Below are 16964 nucleotides of genomic sequence, written 5' to 3'. Positions count from 1 at the left end.
AGGTCAGAGGGACCACTCTGTGAGGACATGTCTCTGTGGATGTAACCAAGTCAGGCCCTTTCTCTTGCACACAGCGTATTTATGTGTGATTGTACTGAGGTTTAGTAGATTCTCCAACATGTATCTGTACCCCACCCACCCTGTACCCCACCCACCCTCAGGACATGCAGATATAATGAATGAGAAGGAGTCCATTCTCCTCCCTGAACTGTACACTCCATGAAGGTAGGGAACCAGATATGGCTCATTCTCTTGTGGGCCAACTGCCCAGGACAGCACCTGCAATAGAGTAGGTAGGTACTCAACAAATAGTCATAGAAAGGATGGAAGGAGGAGGTAGAAGTGCTCTGTCCTATGCGAAGATGTCACTCCCCCTTGCAGAATCCTTGCCTGGGTGCACTGCATTCAGAAAGCACTCTCACCCAGGTAGCAAGGATTAGAGAGGGGGAACCAGGACAGGAGATTCCAGTACCTGTACACCTCACATGTGCATCTAACAAGAAGGCTTGCTGTTCTTGCCTAGTGCATTAACCTTGCATTGAACTAAAGTAGAGAGAAGTTGCTTCGACAAGTATCAGGCTGGGTGCAGTGGCTCACACCTATAATCCCAACACTTTGGGAGGCTAAGGCTGGTGGACTGCTTGAGCCTAGGAGTTTGAGACCAGCTTGGGCAACATAGTGAGACCCCATCTCTACAAAAAATAAACACAAATTAGCCAGGCATGGTGGCACAAGCCTGTGGTCCCAGCTATTTGAGAGGCTGAGGTGGGAGGATCGCTTGAGCCCAGGTGGTTGAGGCTGCAGTGAACTGTGATGGTGCCAGTGCACTCCAGCCTGAGCAACAGAGCAATACTCCATCAAAAAAGAAAGAAAAGAAAAGAGAGAAGAAAAGAAAGGAAAGGAAAGGAAGGAAAGAAAGAAAAGAAAGAGAAAGAAAAAGAAAAGAAGGAAGGAAGGAAAGAAGGAAAAAACAAGAAACAAGTATCAATGTGACAGCAGGAATGAGAAGACTCACACTTATGGGTGGGTTAAGGTGGGAAGAGGGTAGATAAGAAGTTCCTATGTGGCCCACTCACCCTCAGTATATGCAGGGGCAATGAGTGGTGACAAAGTCCATTCTCCTCTCAGGCTATAATATCCAGGAAGGCAGGGGCGAAGTCTGCCTTGTTCATTTCTCTGTGTCCAATGCCCATCATGGTGCCCAATACATATTATTTGTGGAAGGAAAGAATGAATGAGGGTCAGAGAGCAGGCAGGCAAGCAGCAAGCAGCTGAGAGGTGACATACAGATCTTCTGTTCTCCACGCAGAGGGGGCTCACCCTCTCAGAATCCTTGCCCGGGTGCATTGCATTCAGAAAGCACTCTCACCCAGGGACAAAGGATTAGAGAGGAAGAGCAGAGCAGAAGACTCAGGCACCTGCACCCTGCATGTATATCTCCATATATATTTGACTTTCATGGTCCCATTCCTGCAAAGTATCTCTGTGTGCATTTGCTAAGACAGATGCCTCTCCTCAGGGATAGCATATGTATTCATCCCCCTGCACAAGGCCACATGGACATGCCCTCTCAGACAAAACCTCAGACTAGAATGAAAGATATGAGTGGCATCTTTTTCAGATCACACTTGAGGGTCTGCAGGTGCTGGATGTATTTGGGGCCTAGCAAGGAGGTTGGGACAAACTGTATGTGGGCACACATGTACATGCACATGTTGGAAGATGGTACAGAAAATTGGGATACTTCATTCTCTTCTGTTTCTCTGGTAAACTATAAGCTCACTGAGAGCAAAGACTGGCTGTGCAAGTCTCATCACCCAATGTGTGTTTCCCCATTACAGTATCTGACACATAGTAAGCTGGGAGTAAACAGAAAGCTCATGCTCTCAAAGAGGTGTAAGCTTGTCCAGGGCAATGATGAAGTTCATTCTCCCACAGGTGCCCTCTACAGAGCCCAGGGACCTTAGCTGTCTTATTTACCGTTGTATCTCCACCACCCAGTGCAGGATCTGGCACCGCATAGCAAACACAAACATGTGAAAGAAGGGGACAGGTTGTTGGTCCTTCTACATGTAGACAAGGCTCAGCCTCTTTGAATCCTTGAATAGGTGTGTTGCACTGAAATAGCACTCACACCTAGGTTCCAAGGATTCAAGAGGGGGAGCAGACAAGAAGGCTCTGACACCTGCCCTTTTTGTGTGTTTGTATGTGTGCATGTGTAGCTATAACCAAGTCTCACTCTCATGTATATACAGTGTCATTTACTAGGGACTTTACAGAAAGGCAGAGAATCTTTTCTCCTGCAGAGTTCCATGTGAGATCAGAGAAGATTCATGCTTTTGTGTATGTTTGTGGGTGACAGTGGTAATGAGAAGTCCACTCTGTGGCCCACCCACTCTCAGGGCATGTAGGTGTAATGGATGATGAGGAATTCCATTCTTCTTCCTCAACTGTAGCTCCATGAGGGTAGGGACCAAGCATGTCTTGTTAGCAACTGTATGCTCATTACTCAACTTAGTATCATATACAGAAAAGGTGGTCAATAAATACTTGTGGAATGGATGATAGGAGGACAGAAAGACGCTCTGTCCTACACGAAGATGAAGCTCTCGCTCTCAGAATCCTTGCCCAGGTGCATTGCATTCAGACAGCACTCTCACCCAGGTAGCAAGGATTAGAGAGGGGGAGCAGAACACAAAGCCCTGTGAATGTTCAGTGAGAGGGCTCATTCTTCTTCACACAAGGTACTTACTTGTCATGATATAGAAGTAAAGAGAACAGTTCTTGAGCTTTGCATTAAAGATGTCTAGTTAAACACACATTTTGTCTGTTCTCTCAGATAGTAACAACAAAAAAGTATAAACCTATAAAGAGACTGGGAGGAGAGAGGAGTGTGAAAGGGAGGAAAGAGAGAATGAATATAACGCCAAAGCTCATGATCCCGCAAATGCTTTGTGTGACTATGCAACAAGAAGGCAGTACAGTTTAGCACAGTTGTTCTCTAACATGCACCAGAATCATCTGAAGACCTGGGTAATATACAGGTTACAGAGGTTTCTGACTTGGTGAGTCTGGGGTGAGACCCAAGAATTTGCATTTCTAACAAGTTCTCAGGTGATACTGATGCTACTGGTCCAGGGACTACACTGGGAGAATCACTAATGTAGTGGAAAAACCAGGCACTTTGGTATCTACGAACCTTGGTTCAAATGCACGCTCTACCACATATTAGCCTAGAGAATCGACCTGATTTTCCCAAGGTCAAGTTAAACACTTTTGAAGAATGAGGACAATTTAAAGCCTACCTCTTAAATGGTGTCAAGAAAATGAAATAAAGTATAGTACCTGGCACACAGCCGTCAATATTTTTACCTCTTACTCTCTATTTTTATGTATATATGTGTTTGAATGAATGTGCATTTTTAAGGGGGATGGTGAAACTCCTGCATGCAAGGGACAGGTGAGAGAGAAGAGGTCCGAGTATCTGTGAGTGTGAGTGCCTGCACAAGGGGATACACAGATTCATCCTCTTAAATTCCTCACGTGTGAGTTGATGAGGTTCTCCTTCAATCTCCCTAGGTCAACAAAGTTCACGCCCCTTCACATAAGGGATATGAAGGAAAACATCAGAAGTTCCACTCTCTCTGTGTGTGTGTGTGTGTGTGTGTGTGTGTGTGTGACAGAGAGAGAGAGAGAGAGAGAGAGAGAGAGAGAGAGAGAGAAAGAGAGAGAGAGAGAGACAGAAAATGAGTAAAGATGGGGGCATCTGGCCCTGTGAGTATAATCAAAAAGGCTCCTGTCTCTCCTGTCCCTGTATGCTCACATGTCTGCATATGCTGGGCACCCAGCCACATGTGGGCCTCCCTTGCATGCTCATTCTCCTGTATGCCTTGCTTGTGCACATGTGCATATACGAGTATTTGTGTATCTGTGATTGTGAGAGAGAACATTAACAAGGAAGTGCATCTTCATTCAACAGCTACCTAAGGGAAGAATGCCGAGACAGCTCACTGCCCTTTCTGGGAGGGCAAAGAGAGTAGAGTTAGGGCAGGAAGGAACCACCCACTGCTTACCTGATCAGTGGGACTCCGTGTATACAGGTCTACATCCCTAGATGCCTGACCATCCTGGGGGACAAGGTGGGGTGCTTGGGGGGTGGGAACTAAAGTAAATTCATTCTCCAGTATCCCCAGCATGTGTGCACACCTGCACAGTGAGTACAAATGAGCTTTATCCTCCTATATGTGCTAGCTAGGCAGTACACTCAGGGGACTGTGGCTGTACTGTTCTCTTCTGGCTCCCTACAGGAGTAAATAATACTGGCAGGCAGCAGGAGAGGTAGGCGATGTACAAGGGCTCTGTCCTTCCATCTGCAGCTAAGGCTCACCCCATCTGAATCCCTGCCAAGGTGCATTGCATGTGGAGAGCACTAGTACCAGTATCAAGGATTAAAGAGAAGGAGCAAATGAGAAGGCTCAGGCACCTGTACCCCAAGGATAGCATGGGAGTTAGGAAAGAAAAAGCTCCCCTTTTCCAGCCCCTTGAACACATGAAGGCAGGCTGAATGGGAATGATGAACTGTGTTCTCTGGCACAAGCTCACCCCACAGTAAAACCAGGGTCCCTGATGCTCTTGCCACTATTGGATCCCCAAATCCAACAGGCATTCAAAAAGCTCTCTGAAAGGAACTAGGAGAGGTGACAGGCACTCTCTGCTCTGTGCATAACATACCATCTGTGAGTCCTAGCCCAGGTGTACTGCACTGGGACAGCACTTGCATGCGGATGCTACAGATTAAAGAGGCAGTGTCAGCATATGTACCCAACTCATATGTGACAAAGAGGGAAGAGAGGGCTCAGTCTCCTACTCCTCTTTCTCTCACACTTCACATGCAATGTATCAGTAAACTCAACTGGCTGTAACTTTAAAATATAACCACTTTTTACTACCTTCACCACGATCACCCTGATGTAGGCCTCCATCCATCTCTCAACTGAATTATTTCAATGGCCTCCTAACTGGTCTCCCAGTTTCTGCACTTTCTCCTCCTATTTGCCATACAACAGTCAGAACCATACTTGTGAAGCAAAGACACAGAAAACTGTAATCCTGATTTTGAATCAGAAGTATAATGGAATCATGATGTATTTATCTAGAAACAAGAAAACACAAAAACAAAACATTTTTCTGTTCTGATCATTGTAGAAGCCTAAATACAATGACCAATCCAGAGGCAAATATGGTCTTTAAATATCATGTCTGATTAAAAGAAACCAGGGCTTCTTGAAGACATGGCAGATTCCAGGCCTGGGGAAGGTATCTGCGATGAGCTTTGTACATTTTTTTCATCTCTGAAAGCGGAGAAGCTATCAGATAACTACGGAGGCATGTCAAAAGGACTGAGGAACCAATTTGAAGAAGCTCCTACTGGCTAAAGATGGGGCACTGGAGCTTCACTGAAGGCAAGAACTGCAATGGATTAAAAGTCCAAATATATTTAAATCTATGAGTTTATTATAATAGTTTTTTTAAAAAATCCTCTTTAGAGTAAGCTAGTGAACCAACTCATTATTCTGAGTACTGATAAATAAAGAGAACCAAACATTTATCCTATCTTGCCTATAAAGACGGCAACACTGGGTGATCAAATAGCAGATGAAGGGAAGTTTTTCTTTATAGAAGTATTCCAGCTAATAAATCAAGAGAATAATGGGATTAGAATATCATCATTTTGCAACCCCTAATGAAATAACGGCTCTAAGAATTGAGCATCGGTGGCAACTAACATCACAGAAAGATGATCATCAGTTATTTTGTGCCTCTTAATGGAAGTAGTTCTGCTCCCCCTTCCTCAAAATTAAGCCTGAATTTGATCAGGCTTCCAGATGCAACTATCAGTTTACAGGAAATACAAACAAGGAGAAGGAACATGTAAACTACATCACAGGGATGTGATCACAAAAATCCAGACTATGCAAAACTGTATAGGATGAATGGCCCACTTTCTTCCAACAAATAAATTATAAGGAAAGAAAAAATATAGATGGAAGGGAAAGATATAATTCAAAGGGACTTAAGATACATATCAACCAAATGCAATGCATGGACCTTATCTGGATCCTAATTTATGATATTTCTGAGACAAGTGGAAATGGGAACAACAGATATGTGATGATATTAAAAAATTGTTGGCAATTTTTTTTCTTTTTGAGATGAAGCCTCGCTCTTGTCACCCAGGCTGGAGCGCAGTGGCACGATCTTGGCTCACTGCAACCTCCGCCTCCCGGGTTCAAGCGATTCTCCTGCCTCAGCCTCCCGAGTAGCTGGGATTACAGGCACCTGCCACCAGGCCTGACTAATTTTTGTATTTTTAGTAGAGACGGGGTTTCACCATGTTGGCCAGGCTGGTCTTGAATTCCTAACCTCAGGTGATCTGCCTACCTTAGCCTCCCACAAAGTGCTGAGATTACAGGCATGAGCCCCTGTGCCTGGATGGTAATTATTTTTAAGTGTGATAATGGTATGATTTTTTTTTTAAAAGCGGCCTTAGATTTTAGAGATACATAGTAATTATCAGCTTTCCCTTTTTCCATTGTAACTTACTACTTCCCAGCCCTATGCTTCTGCCACAATGGCTCTTTGTTGTTCCTAGAACACAGTAGGCCTTTCCTGACTACCCTATTTGATATCGAAACTTCTCCACCACCATCTATGCTGTAACTACCCCCACCCACTCCTTGTCCCCTTTTCCTGCCTTATTATTCTCCAGAGCACTTATCAACAATTGGCACACTATCTATTACTTACTTATTTTGTTCACTACCTGCCTCCCCTCACTAGGGCAGGGATTCTTGTCTTTTGGTCACTGGTGTATCCCTGGTGCATAGGGGAGTACCCAACACACAGTAGCTGCTCGATAAATATTTGCTGAATGAATGAGTGGCTCACCAAATGAATCGGCTGCAAATCCTGGGTCTGGGGAGATAACAGAGAAAACTCACAATCTGACTCATATCTACATGAGTGTCTAAGAAGACAGATCTTCACACACCCTCTTGAGCAAACAAGTGTGCATATGGAAAGGCATGGCACAGTGAGTGGATTCTACTTTCTGAACCCAAAATGTGTGTGCATATTACATCTTTGCATATGGTTATGATATAGACACAATTTTCCTCACAAACTGGGTTTGTGAGAATTAGCTAGAAGACTCCCTTTTCATCATGCCCCATGTACAGGAGTCCTGAGAAGGTTCTCTCTCCTCCTCTAGGTGCCGCTAAGACAGAACCAGGTCAAAAGACCCCCCTTCCTTCTCTAGGCTGTGCCTATCCCTGAGTATGAGGGGCTGCACCATGTGCAAGAGAAAGCTAAGAGAAGTCTCCCTCTCCTGCAGGATCCATGTAAGACTGAGATGGGAGAAAGGACATGGCTGAGAGTCATTCTCCTTCCCACCACATGGGTGTGTGTTTTTCTTTTGGTGAAGGAGTGCGTATGTGTATATACACATGCACAAGAGAGCAAGGAAAGCTGAGGCTCGCCATCCTGCAAACCCTGCATGTGGGAGGGGTTTTCAGAAAGCTCACCCTCCACCATGCAAGGGATGTGAGAGAGGGAGCAGGGAAGGGCTTGCTCTCTTGGCACGACATATGGGTATGCTCTAGGAGGCAAGAGGCACTGGCCTGGGGGGTGCAAGTGGGCAGCAAGATAGCCACAGGAGTGCTGATGGGTAAACTAGGAGCAGTGGCCATGGAAGCAGGACAGTCATCCAGATGGGATGGCTGCTAACAGTGTACCCCACATACAGAGCACGTAAGAGAGGGTCTACCTCCCTTTGGTGTACCTGTCCATGTGCTCATGCCTATGCACTGGAGAGGGAAGAGAAGGCTCGCTCTTCTGCAAGCCTTGGGTGTGGGAGGGTAATTAAGATGCCAACGGTCCTACACTCAAGGCATGGAGGAGAGAAAGCAAGTCGGGAGGTCTGCTCTCCTGTATACTGTGTGCATGCGTATCCCAGATGCCTTGGACTTCTATGACTGTGCCCCAGACATGCTGTAATGAGAAGGTGTGCTTGTGTACATTCACATATGTACCTTCAGAAATGTTCACTATCTACAACATATTTGTTTTCCTTCCTTCTTTCTTTTCCTTTATTTTTATTCCTAACACCAGTATAGTATTTACATTTGCAGAGCACTGTTTTAAGTGCTTTTCACACATAGCTCATTTATTCTCATAAAATATCCATGAGGTGATCATTATCCCTATTTTACAGATGAAATAACACACATACGAGAACAGATGGTAAGAAAGCTTAGAATCTGGCATGCAGGTCATTAGAAAGAGGACTCAAAAAAGGAGGCTCAAGCTCTCAGCCACCAACCACTTTGTGTCCACACACACACCACACACACACACACACACACACACACACACACACAGAGAGAGAGAGAGAGAGACAGAGACAGAGACAGAGACAGAGAGACAGACAGACAGACAGACGCAAGAGAACTTGCACTTGTCAGCCCAGGGAAAAGCTGGATTAGTGTGGAAATAATAGAGGAAGTGAGAAGTATGAGAAGTGGCTGTGTGGTCAGATTAGACATGTATTTTGAAAGTAGAGCCAACAAGATTTGACAGCAGTTTGTATTTGGAGAATGGAGGGGAAAAAGTGTCAAAGATGAATCCAAAACCTTTAGCTTATTAAAATTCTCCATATCCTTGGCATATGCAATTGGGAAATGCTGTTTGCTGAGTTGGAGAACACAGAGGGAGGAGTAGGGCTTTTTGAGAGGGGGAGGAAAACCAGGACCTCAGCTTTGGATGTGTTAAAGTTTTGAGATACTTATTAGACATTCGGGGCAGATGTCCAGTACATAGTTGGACATAGGCATCTGGAATTCAGGAGAGAAGTCCAGGCTGGAAATACAAACACAGAAATCATCCACATAAAATGGTACTTAGAGTTGCAAGACAAGATGAGAACAGCTGAGGACTAATGAGAAGTTAAAAAAAAAAAAAGAAGTCTGAAGACTAAGCCCTATATCTCTTTAATACTTAGAATTCAGGAAGAGGAGGAGAAACCATCAAGAGACTGAGAAAGAGAGGCTTGTGAGGTAAGAAGACAACCTCATGAGTGTGGAATCCTGGAAAGCAGGTAGAGTCTCAAGGCAGAGGGAGTGATCAACTGTGTGTTGATCTGTCAAGTAAGATGACAACATTGCCCAGTAAATTGGGAAATGTGAAGGACACTGGGGACCTTGACCAGGGTCATTTAAGTGCTGCAGGTTACAGTTTTACATGGAGGGTTTTCAAGAGTAAATGGGACTAACATTTAAGTCTTTAATCCATCTTGAATTAATTTTTGTATAAGGTGTAAGGAAGGGATCCAAGGACAGAAAACCAAACACCACATGTTCTCACTCATAGGTGGGAATTGAACAATGAGAACACTTGGACACAGGAAGGGGAACATCACACATCGGGGCCTGTCATGGGGTGGGGGGAGGGGGGAGGGATAGCATTAGGAGATATACCTAATGTAAATGACAAGTTAACGGGTGCAGCACACCAACATGGCACATGTATGCATATGTAACAAACCTGCATGTTGTGCACATGTACCCTAGAACTTAAAGTATACATTTAAAAAAAAGAGTAAATGGGAGAAATAGAAGTAGAGATGGAGTACAATCAGCTCCTTCAAAAAAATTTTTTTTTTTTCTGTAAAGAGGAACAGAGAAATGAGTAGAAACTGGAGGAGCTTTTTGGGTAGAGAAGGTAGTGCTTTTTAATTTTTAAAATTATTTTTAGACAGGATATGTGGCAGCACATCTAGATATTGGTACAAACACTCCAGTATACAAAGAACAGTTGATGATGCAGTAAGGAGAGGGGGATCAATTGCAGGAGCACTGTCACTGAATAGGTGACAGGGGTTGAAATCTAGTATACAAGTGGAGGAACTGGTCCTGGCTACATGTGCCAGTAATTCATCTACCATAATGGGGAGGAGCTGACACTTAGGGACATGTGCAGGTAATGGAGGAGAGGTCAGAGGAACTTCAGAGGGTCCCTTCTGATGGCTTCCATTTTCTCAAGGAAGAAGAAAGCAAAGTCAGCAGCTGAGAGTGAGGAGGAAGGAAGGGAGGTGACACTGCAGATTTGAGGAAAGGAAAGAATTATGAAACAGTCATCCAAGGCAGTACTTCCCAAACATTTTCAAATAATGGGACCAAGCAGCTTAGGTGTGAGTTTTCTTCTATGGAGAATCAGTTGCTCCAGGCAAAGCATATGGATTAAGGAAGTTTATTACATGTTAATCCCAATACATGCGTCGCCTCCTTCAGTGCTTATTACAAACCTATATGGTTGGCACAATTAGTTATCTCATTTTCATGTTGTGGAAATTGAGACACAAGATAAGTCACTTGTCTAGGATCACAAAGCTCATTACAGATCACGCCAGGATTCTACCACAGGTAATCTGACTACCAAGACAGTGGGCCTAACCACTGAACCCTAAAGCTGTGTGTACCCACATGTGTATGAGAACTGAAAATGATAAGGACCCACTTTCTGGCACATCCTTGGCACACACATGTGAGATGAGGGAGGAAAAGGAAGAGAGAAAGAGCAAGGATGGAGAATAAGGAGGCTCAAGCTCCTATCATAAATGTGTGTGGGGGCATGCACAGAAAAGGGGTAATAAGGTGGCTGACACAGTGGTTCACACGCCACTGTGGCCCAGCCAGTGTGTGCATTGGGAGGTTGTAATAACCTCCCAATTGGGAGGTCAGTTTTATTTTAGGTTAAGCCATGCGTGGGGTAGGAGAGTGGCAGCAATAGAAGGCTCACAGTCCTGCGATGCTGGATGCAATGGGGCAACTCAGGTGTCTCCCTTACATGCATATCATGAGTGTATGCACATGAGAGAAAGAAAGAGAAAAGCAGGATTAGAGAGAGAGGCTGCAAGCAGGAGGCGGATGGGGAAACCCACAGTCCAACAGGTTTGGGGAAGCATATTTAAAATAAAAAGCTCACTGTAGTTCTGTGTGGTCAAGGTGGGATGGGATAGCTTGAGAGGCTTGCACCCCTGCATGGGGCAGGAGAGCTGGGGGAGTGGAGAGCAGAGACAGGGCAGATATAGGAAGAATGCTCACTGATGAATCCTAGCAAATTTTTAAAATATCATAAATTTCATACTATTTTTACAATGTAAATAACTGTCATTCAAACAATGCTCCACAACCTTTAAAACAAGTAAAAAAAGGGGCTTTTAATGTACAGACTAAGAAAGCAAATGTATTCGTTGTAGCACAATTCTCATATTCTATTCCGCAGGTATCAGCTGCTTGACAACACCAACTATAGTGAAAAGAGCCAAATATGTGTTCACACTGACACTTTTTCTTTAGTCTTTAAACTTGCTGGCCAACAGAGTATAGCTTAGAAACTGCCCACCATCCTTAATGGATCAACTGCCATTTCTGAACTTATTTTTCCCCTCAGCTAAAAGGGGCAGATTATTTTTTTTATTCCTCAACACATCTACCATACAAAGCAAACACTAACAGGCCGAAGGATTCATCTCCCTCGTGGTGTACATGTGTGTACACATGTGAAGGCACATGTGCCTGTGCCAGAGCCAGTTTTTTTAGGCCCACTATCCTTCAAATACTTCAACTCAGCAAGTTAAAAAAAAAAAAAAAAAGCAAAGTCCACTCTCCAATAATGCATGCTTGTGGGAAGAGCACTAAGAAGGCATGCTGGGTTTAAGAGGCAGGGCACAGCTCAGAAAGCTTGCACATCTGTAAACCTCATGTGTGGGAGGGAACTGAGACAGCTCACACCCCAATGTGTGAGGCATGTGAGACAAACAGGTAAGGAGTCACCTCCTCTCTCCCTCACAGACAGAGGATGTACACAGACGTAGGTCTAAGGAGGCGTGGGGTGATCAGGAGCCTCATCATCTTGTACTCCTGTGTGCATCATCTGTGTCGGGGGTGGGGAGGGTGTCCCATAATAATGCTCACTCTTGCCAACAAGGCCTGTAAGAAGGGCACTAAACAATCTCGACTCTGGATGCTGGGTGAAAAAAAGCAAGGGGGCACATAGCCTATGGCGGGGGGGTGGCACTAGAAAATTCACTCTCCTGTAAGTTGTGTATATAAGAGTGGAATTAAAAAACACACACACTACCATTCAAGGCAAATGGGAGGGTGAACACATCAGATGTCTCAGACTGTGTGTGTGTGTGTAGAAGACTCAAGCCAGCAAACCCTTTGCAGTGTCATGCATGGGTGAAGGAGAGAAATAACAAGAAGGCAAGATGGCTTGCTCTCCCACAGACTCCACAAATAGGAATGGGATCAGGAAAGCTCTCTCTCCTACAGTCAAGACATATAGACGAGTGGTGGAGTCAGCAGGTTCTTCTTTCTGGCACTCTGAGTGTGAGAGGGAAGGAGGGAGGGAGGGAAGTAGAGAAGGCACATTAAGGTTCATTTGCCTGCAAACTTAAAATGTGGGAGGGGGATTGTGAAAATCCACACTCTGACACTTTGGGCCCGAAACGTACCAAGCAGGTCAGAAAGCAGGCGTGCTGCAGGCCTGAGGTAGAAGGCTTGTTTATCTGCACATTTTGTGTGGATCTGCTCAAAAGGAGGCTCACTTTGCAGCACTACGTCTATGTGGGTGCCCACAAAATGGCAGGAGCAGAGGGGGTGGTGAGAGAGTAAGTGAGAAGGGTCCAGTGACCGTACCCCATTAAGTATATATTCCTGTGCATGTATGAGCAGGAATATGCAAACAGGAAATGGGGCTCAGGCTGCCATACACCTTCTACACCTGTGTCGTTTGAGCAGTACAGTATAGTCTCAGCTTTGGAATGCCTGGTTCTGCCATTAACAGCTGTGCCTAATCTCCCTATGCCTGCATTTCATCATCTGTAAAATGGGGAGGGCGGGAGTCCCTGATTCTTAGGGTTGTTGCAAGGATTAACCAGGACACTATGACCAGTGCTGAGCTCAGTGTCTGGACACTGCCAGTGCCAAATGTTAACTATCTTTGTTAGCATCAGCAACAGGAAAATGGGCCTCTCTAGGGAAATATCACTCAAAGATCCTCATGAATGCCCCTGACCCCAACTGTTTAGCTTCTCCCTTGTCTGAGGCCAGAAAGGAACTGCTAAAGAGTAGTGAGTTCCAGACTTTATGTTCAACAACTTGGGGCTAAGGGTAAAAGAAAGAGAGAACTAGGGAGATAGACACAGATGGGATCTTCAACAAAAAAATGTTTATTATTGGCCAGGCATGGTGGCTCATGCCTGTAATCCCAGCACTTTGGGAGGCTGAGGCAAGATGATCACTTGAGCCAGGAGTTTGAGCCCAGTCTGGGTAACATAGTGAGACCCCATCTCTACAAAAAAAAAAAAGGCCGGGCATAGTAGCACACATCTGTAGTGTCAGCTACTCAGGAGGCTGAGGTAGGAGGATTGCCTGGGCCCAGGAGATCAAGACTGCAGTGAGCTATGACTGCACCACTGCACTCCAGCCTGGGCAATGGAGTGAGACCCTGTCTCAAAAAACAAGAGTTTATTATTATTTGGAAGTAAAGAAGAAGGTAACAAAATGGATTGAAAACTAGGAAGACTGAATGTATGAGGTCAGGAGGTGAGGAGGTATTGAGGTAAGGTGTGAAGGGTGGGAACTTACAACAGGGACAAGTGGGGGGCAAGATAATAAAGGTATGACTTTGACATCTCTGGTGGAAACACTGCTGATCAGCAGAATGAGCTAGATAAATAACTCCTGAAAAATCCTGAAATAATGGTGTATTCAATGACTTCTGGAGTAAGAAAAACCCTAAAAGAGAGACACACATTTGGGGCTTGATAGGAATAATGTGATTGCTGTCCTCAAGGAGCTTCAAGGGTCTACATCAAGTAAGAGTCCTATGAAAAGTTCTCTGAGATACATCTTAACTCTGACACTGTATGATACAATGAGGACAGAATTAAGCCAGATAAAATGAAAATGCTGAACTACTGATACAAGGCAGTGATGCAAAATGCAAGAATTTAGAGAGGGGGAGGCACTGCTATAGATAAGATGAGTTGGAGTGAAGAGTGACCAAAGGGGATGGAAAAGACAAACACAGATCAGGAGGAGGAGGAGGTAGAGAAAGGTATTTCAGAAGCTAAGGAGAATATATAAAGTTACTACCTAAGGAGGCCACAAAGAAACCAGTTTGGCTGGAGTGGAGAGTTCTGACAGAGAGAAGAGGGTGAATAAGGTCAAGGCCATGCTGTGGTCCTTAAATGCTGCAATAATAATAATGAGGTGGACTATCAGTGTGGTGAGCAACCTCTTAGGAGAGGGAATTTTAGGTGGCCCACCAATGTTGTTCCTCTTACTTAATGTGTCCATTTGACTGTAAAGAGGAATACATTAAAACTAACCCTGACTCATGTTTGCATGGAGTTTATTGCTTGCAGTGAGGCTACATGTTTTAAAATACATGTTTTAATATTTAAAATGAGCTGATTTAAAAGAAGATAACAAGTCCAGATGGACATGAAGACTGTGAAGACAGTAACGCATATCATGGGGTTCGATGCTGCAAAACAGAGCTACAGGCAATGGGCAGTTACCAAAGTTTTATAAGTTGGAGAGTAAAATGCTTCTTCAGGAAGTTTAGTCTAGCAGCAAGTGGAAATATGGATTTGCACCAGGGAAATCAATTTAAAAGCTCAGCTCTCACAACTGACAGATGAGAGAGTTCAGGAGGGCCTGAACTAGGCTGAGTAGAGGTGAGAACAGAAAGGAAGTAATGGGGTGTGGAGTGAGGAGTGATTCAATAGATTTCAAGAGCAGAAACTGGTAATTCATCCTATGTGGTGTTTTATGAAGATGAATCTTACACAGTCTTCGGCACAAGGGTTGAATGAGTATGACAGCTGAGCTGATAGATGAGATAAGCACAAGGGACACTTTGAACAATCTACAGAACTTGGGTAATCAAGCTTGGGCATGATTATGTCAGAAAATGCCAAGGATTCCAGCACTAACACAGAGATAGATAATGGCTTAGGCCAAGACTTAGGTATCTGGAGTCTTAGCACCCTTCACTGAAATGGCCACACTGTATTGCAAAGCACTAAACAACAGAATGCCATATGCCACGTGGATAACAAGGCATTTATTTTGCTACTCTTCATCCTGGGCAAGCTACCTATCCTGTGCTGGTGCTCCTAATATGAAACTCTCATATTTCCCAACCCCTCCAGCTCTAAAGCCAGTACATAACACATGATAAAACTGGCAGCTGAATGAATTTTACTTTATTGCTCAAGGGAAATTTAAACAAAAATGACAACTTGGAAGGACTTTACTCATGAGCTCAAGTCCCCTGTAAAAATAGACACAGTTACACTATTCATTTGCTACATAAACTTATTACGTCTTACCATTTGGTAGATTGGCAGAATGAATAGGTTCATTATCTCTTCATTGATGCTTTTCTTAGGAGCTGTCAAGCCTTTACACTCTACATTTCCTCCAAGAACCCACTCTAAGAATGTCTCTGCTATGACTCGCTCACATAGCACTTAGACACATCCTGCCTTGCATTCCAGTTACTTGCACTGTGCTTTATCTCTCCCAGAGGGAAGGGACTGACTTTACCCTTGCTCGGAAGCCTCAGCTACAAGGTAGAAACTCCGTAACTATTTTCGAAAGAATTCTGTTTGCTTGGTTTAGTACAGCTACTCCCATTCTGTTTGAAGTATTGCCATTTCACGGGCCCAAAAATGTCTTATCAGCAGCTATCCAAATTACTTCCCCTTCGCCATTATTGTGCAAGAATATATGGATAAAGTGACTTACTAATTCAGGAAGATTTCAGGGCGTGTCGGGTTTAGGGACACACACTCCATCCTTCAGTCACTGTTCTGCCCAACCACCCACCTAAGGTGTGGTGACTACTAGAATGACAAATGCCGCCTACACCTTACTCTGTAATTCTAAAATGTAAGCTTAGGAATACGTCTTGATCTGAATTTAGGTCCAGGAGGCAAGATATATTGAGTTGAAGGTTAATCTTTATTTTCTCAATGGGTTAGAGAAGAAAAAAACAAATTAGACAATCTGGGGAACCGGATTATAGTTCCAACCCCATTTCACTGACTTGAGTTGAGCCTCAAGAGCGAGAGGCTAATGTTTCTGCATCTTAGTTGCATCATACCAAAGTTGATATGAATATTTGTTTGGAGGGGTAAAAAGCCTGCTGAAACTTGGTGGAAGAATTCACCCAATCGTGTTTAACTGCTGTGACCTGCTGTATATCTGTTAAGAGAATATGCATAAACTTCTATCTTATGCTGTCCCTAGGGTTTATGCAGCAGAAGAGTCATGGATAAGATGCTTCCAGGAATATCTATCCTCTTGGAATAGAGCACAAAACTGAATAGGAGTGTATCAAATTCTGTACTATTGCAGGTTGTGTTATAATGAGATTCTAACTTTGCATGGCAAATGGGCTTAATATATACTAGACTTTAATACAGCTAAAAGGATTTTTAACTTCCTACTCTCCTCAATTTCTTCTTTTGGCATCTGACATAAGATGACTCCCTAATTCCTGAAATGCCCTTTTTAGCTTATATTATATGGTACAGTATTCTGGTTCTCCTACTACCTCTCTGATCCTTCCTTCAATATTTGTTGCCACTTCTTCCTTCCTCAAGGTTCCTATTGTGGCTAGCCCCCCACCACCACTCCACCTTGCCCCACCATACATCTGTCTAATCACCTTTCTCTGAATTCTATTATGGGTTACAGACATCATTATTCTCAAATAACTTCCAAATTCTAAAAATCTATTCCTGCTCTCCCATTCAAGCCACAGCATATTTTAAATTACCACCAAATAAAAAGTTTGACACTTGAAAAACATACCTAAACACATTA

The 16964-nt window shown here is 44.0% G+C and overlaps 1 protein-coding gene and 6 non-coding genes across 12 annotated transcripts in view; all 7 read right to left on the bottom strand.

Moving 5' to 3' along the window:
• The window catches only part of CLCN5 (chloride voltage-gated channel 5), a 176635-nt gene that overhangs the window by 88111 nt on the left and 71560 nt on the right, over positions 1 to 16964 (bottom strand). The gene's annotated exons all lie outside the window — the stretch shown is intronic.
• On the bottom strand, positions 370 to 448 carry MIR500B (microRNA 500b). The gene has a single exon (NR_036257.1). It is a non-coding gene; the product is annotated as a microRNA 500b (primary transcript).
• On the bottom strand, positions 1315 to 1398 carry MIR501 (microRNA 501). The gene has a single exon (NR_030225.1). It is a non-coding gene; the product is annotated as a microRNA 501 (primary transcript).
• MIR362 (microRNA 362) lies at positions 2092 to 2156 on the bottom strand. The gene has a single exon (NR_029850.1). It is a non-coding gene; the product is annotated as a microRNA 362 (primary transcript).
• On the bottom strand, positions 2606 to 2689 carry MIR500A (microRNA 500a). The gene has a single exon (NR_030224.1). It is a non-coding gene; the product is annotated as a microRNA 500a (primary transcript).
• Positions 7532 to 7617, bottom strand: MIR188 (microRNA 188). The gene has a single exon (NR_029708.1). It is a non-coding gene; the product is annotated as a microRNA 188 (primary transcript).
• MIR532 (microRNA 532) lies at positions 7882 to 7972 on the bottom strand. Its single transcript, NR_030241.2, has one exon. It is a non-coding gene; the product is annotated as a microRNA 532 (primary transcript).

This window comes from Homo sapiens, chromosome X, assembly GCF_000001405.40.
Source record: "Homo sapiens chromosome X, GRCh38.p14 Primary Assembly".
In the NCBI taxonomy this organism is placed as follows: Eukaryota; Metazoa; Chordata; class Mammalia; order Primates; family Hominidae; genus Homo; species Homo sapiens.
This window is presented reverse-complemented; position numbering and strand designations above follow the sequence as displayed.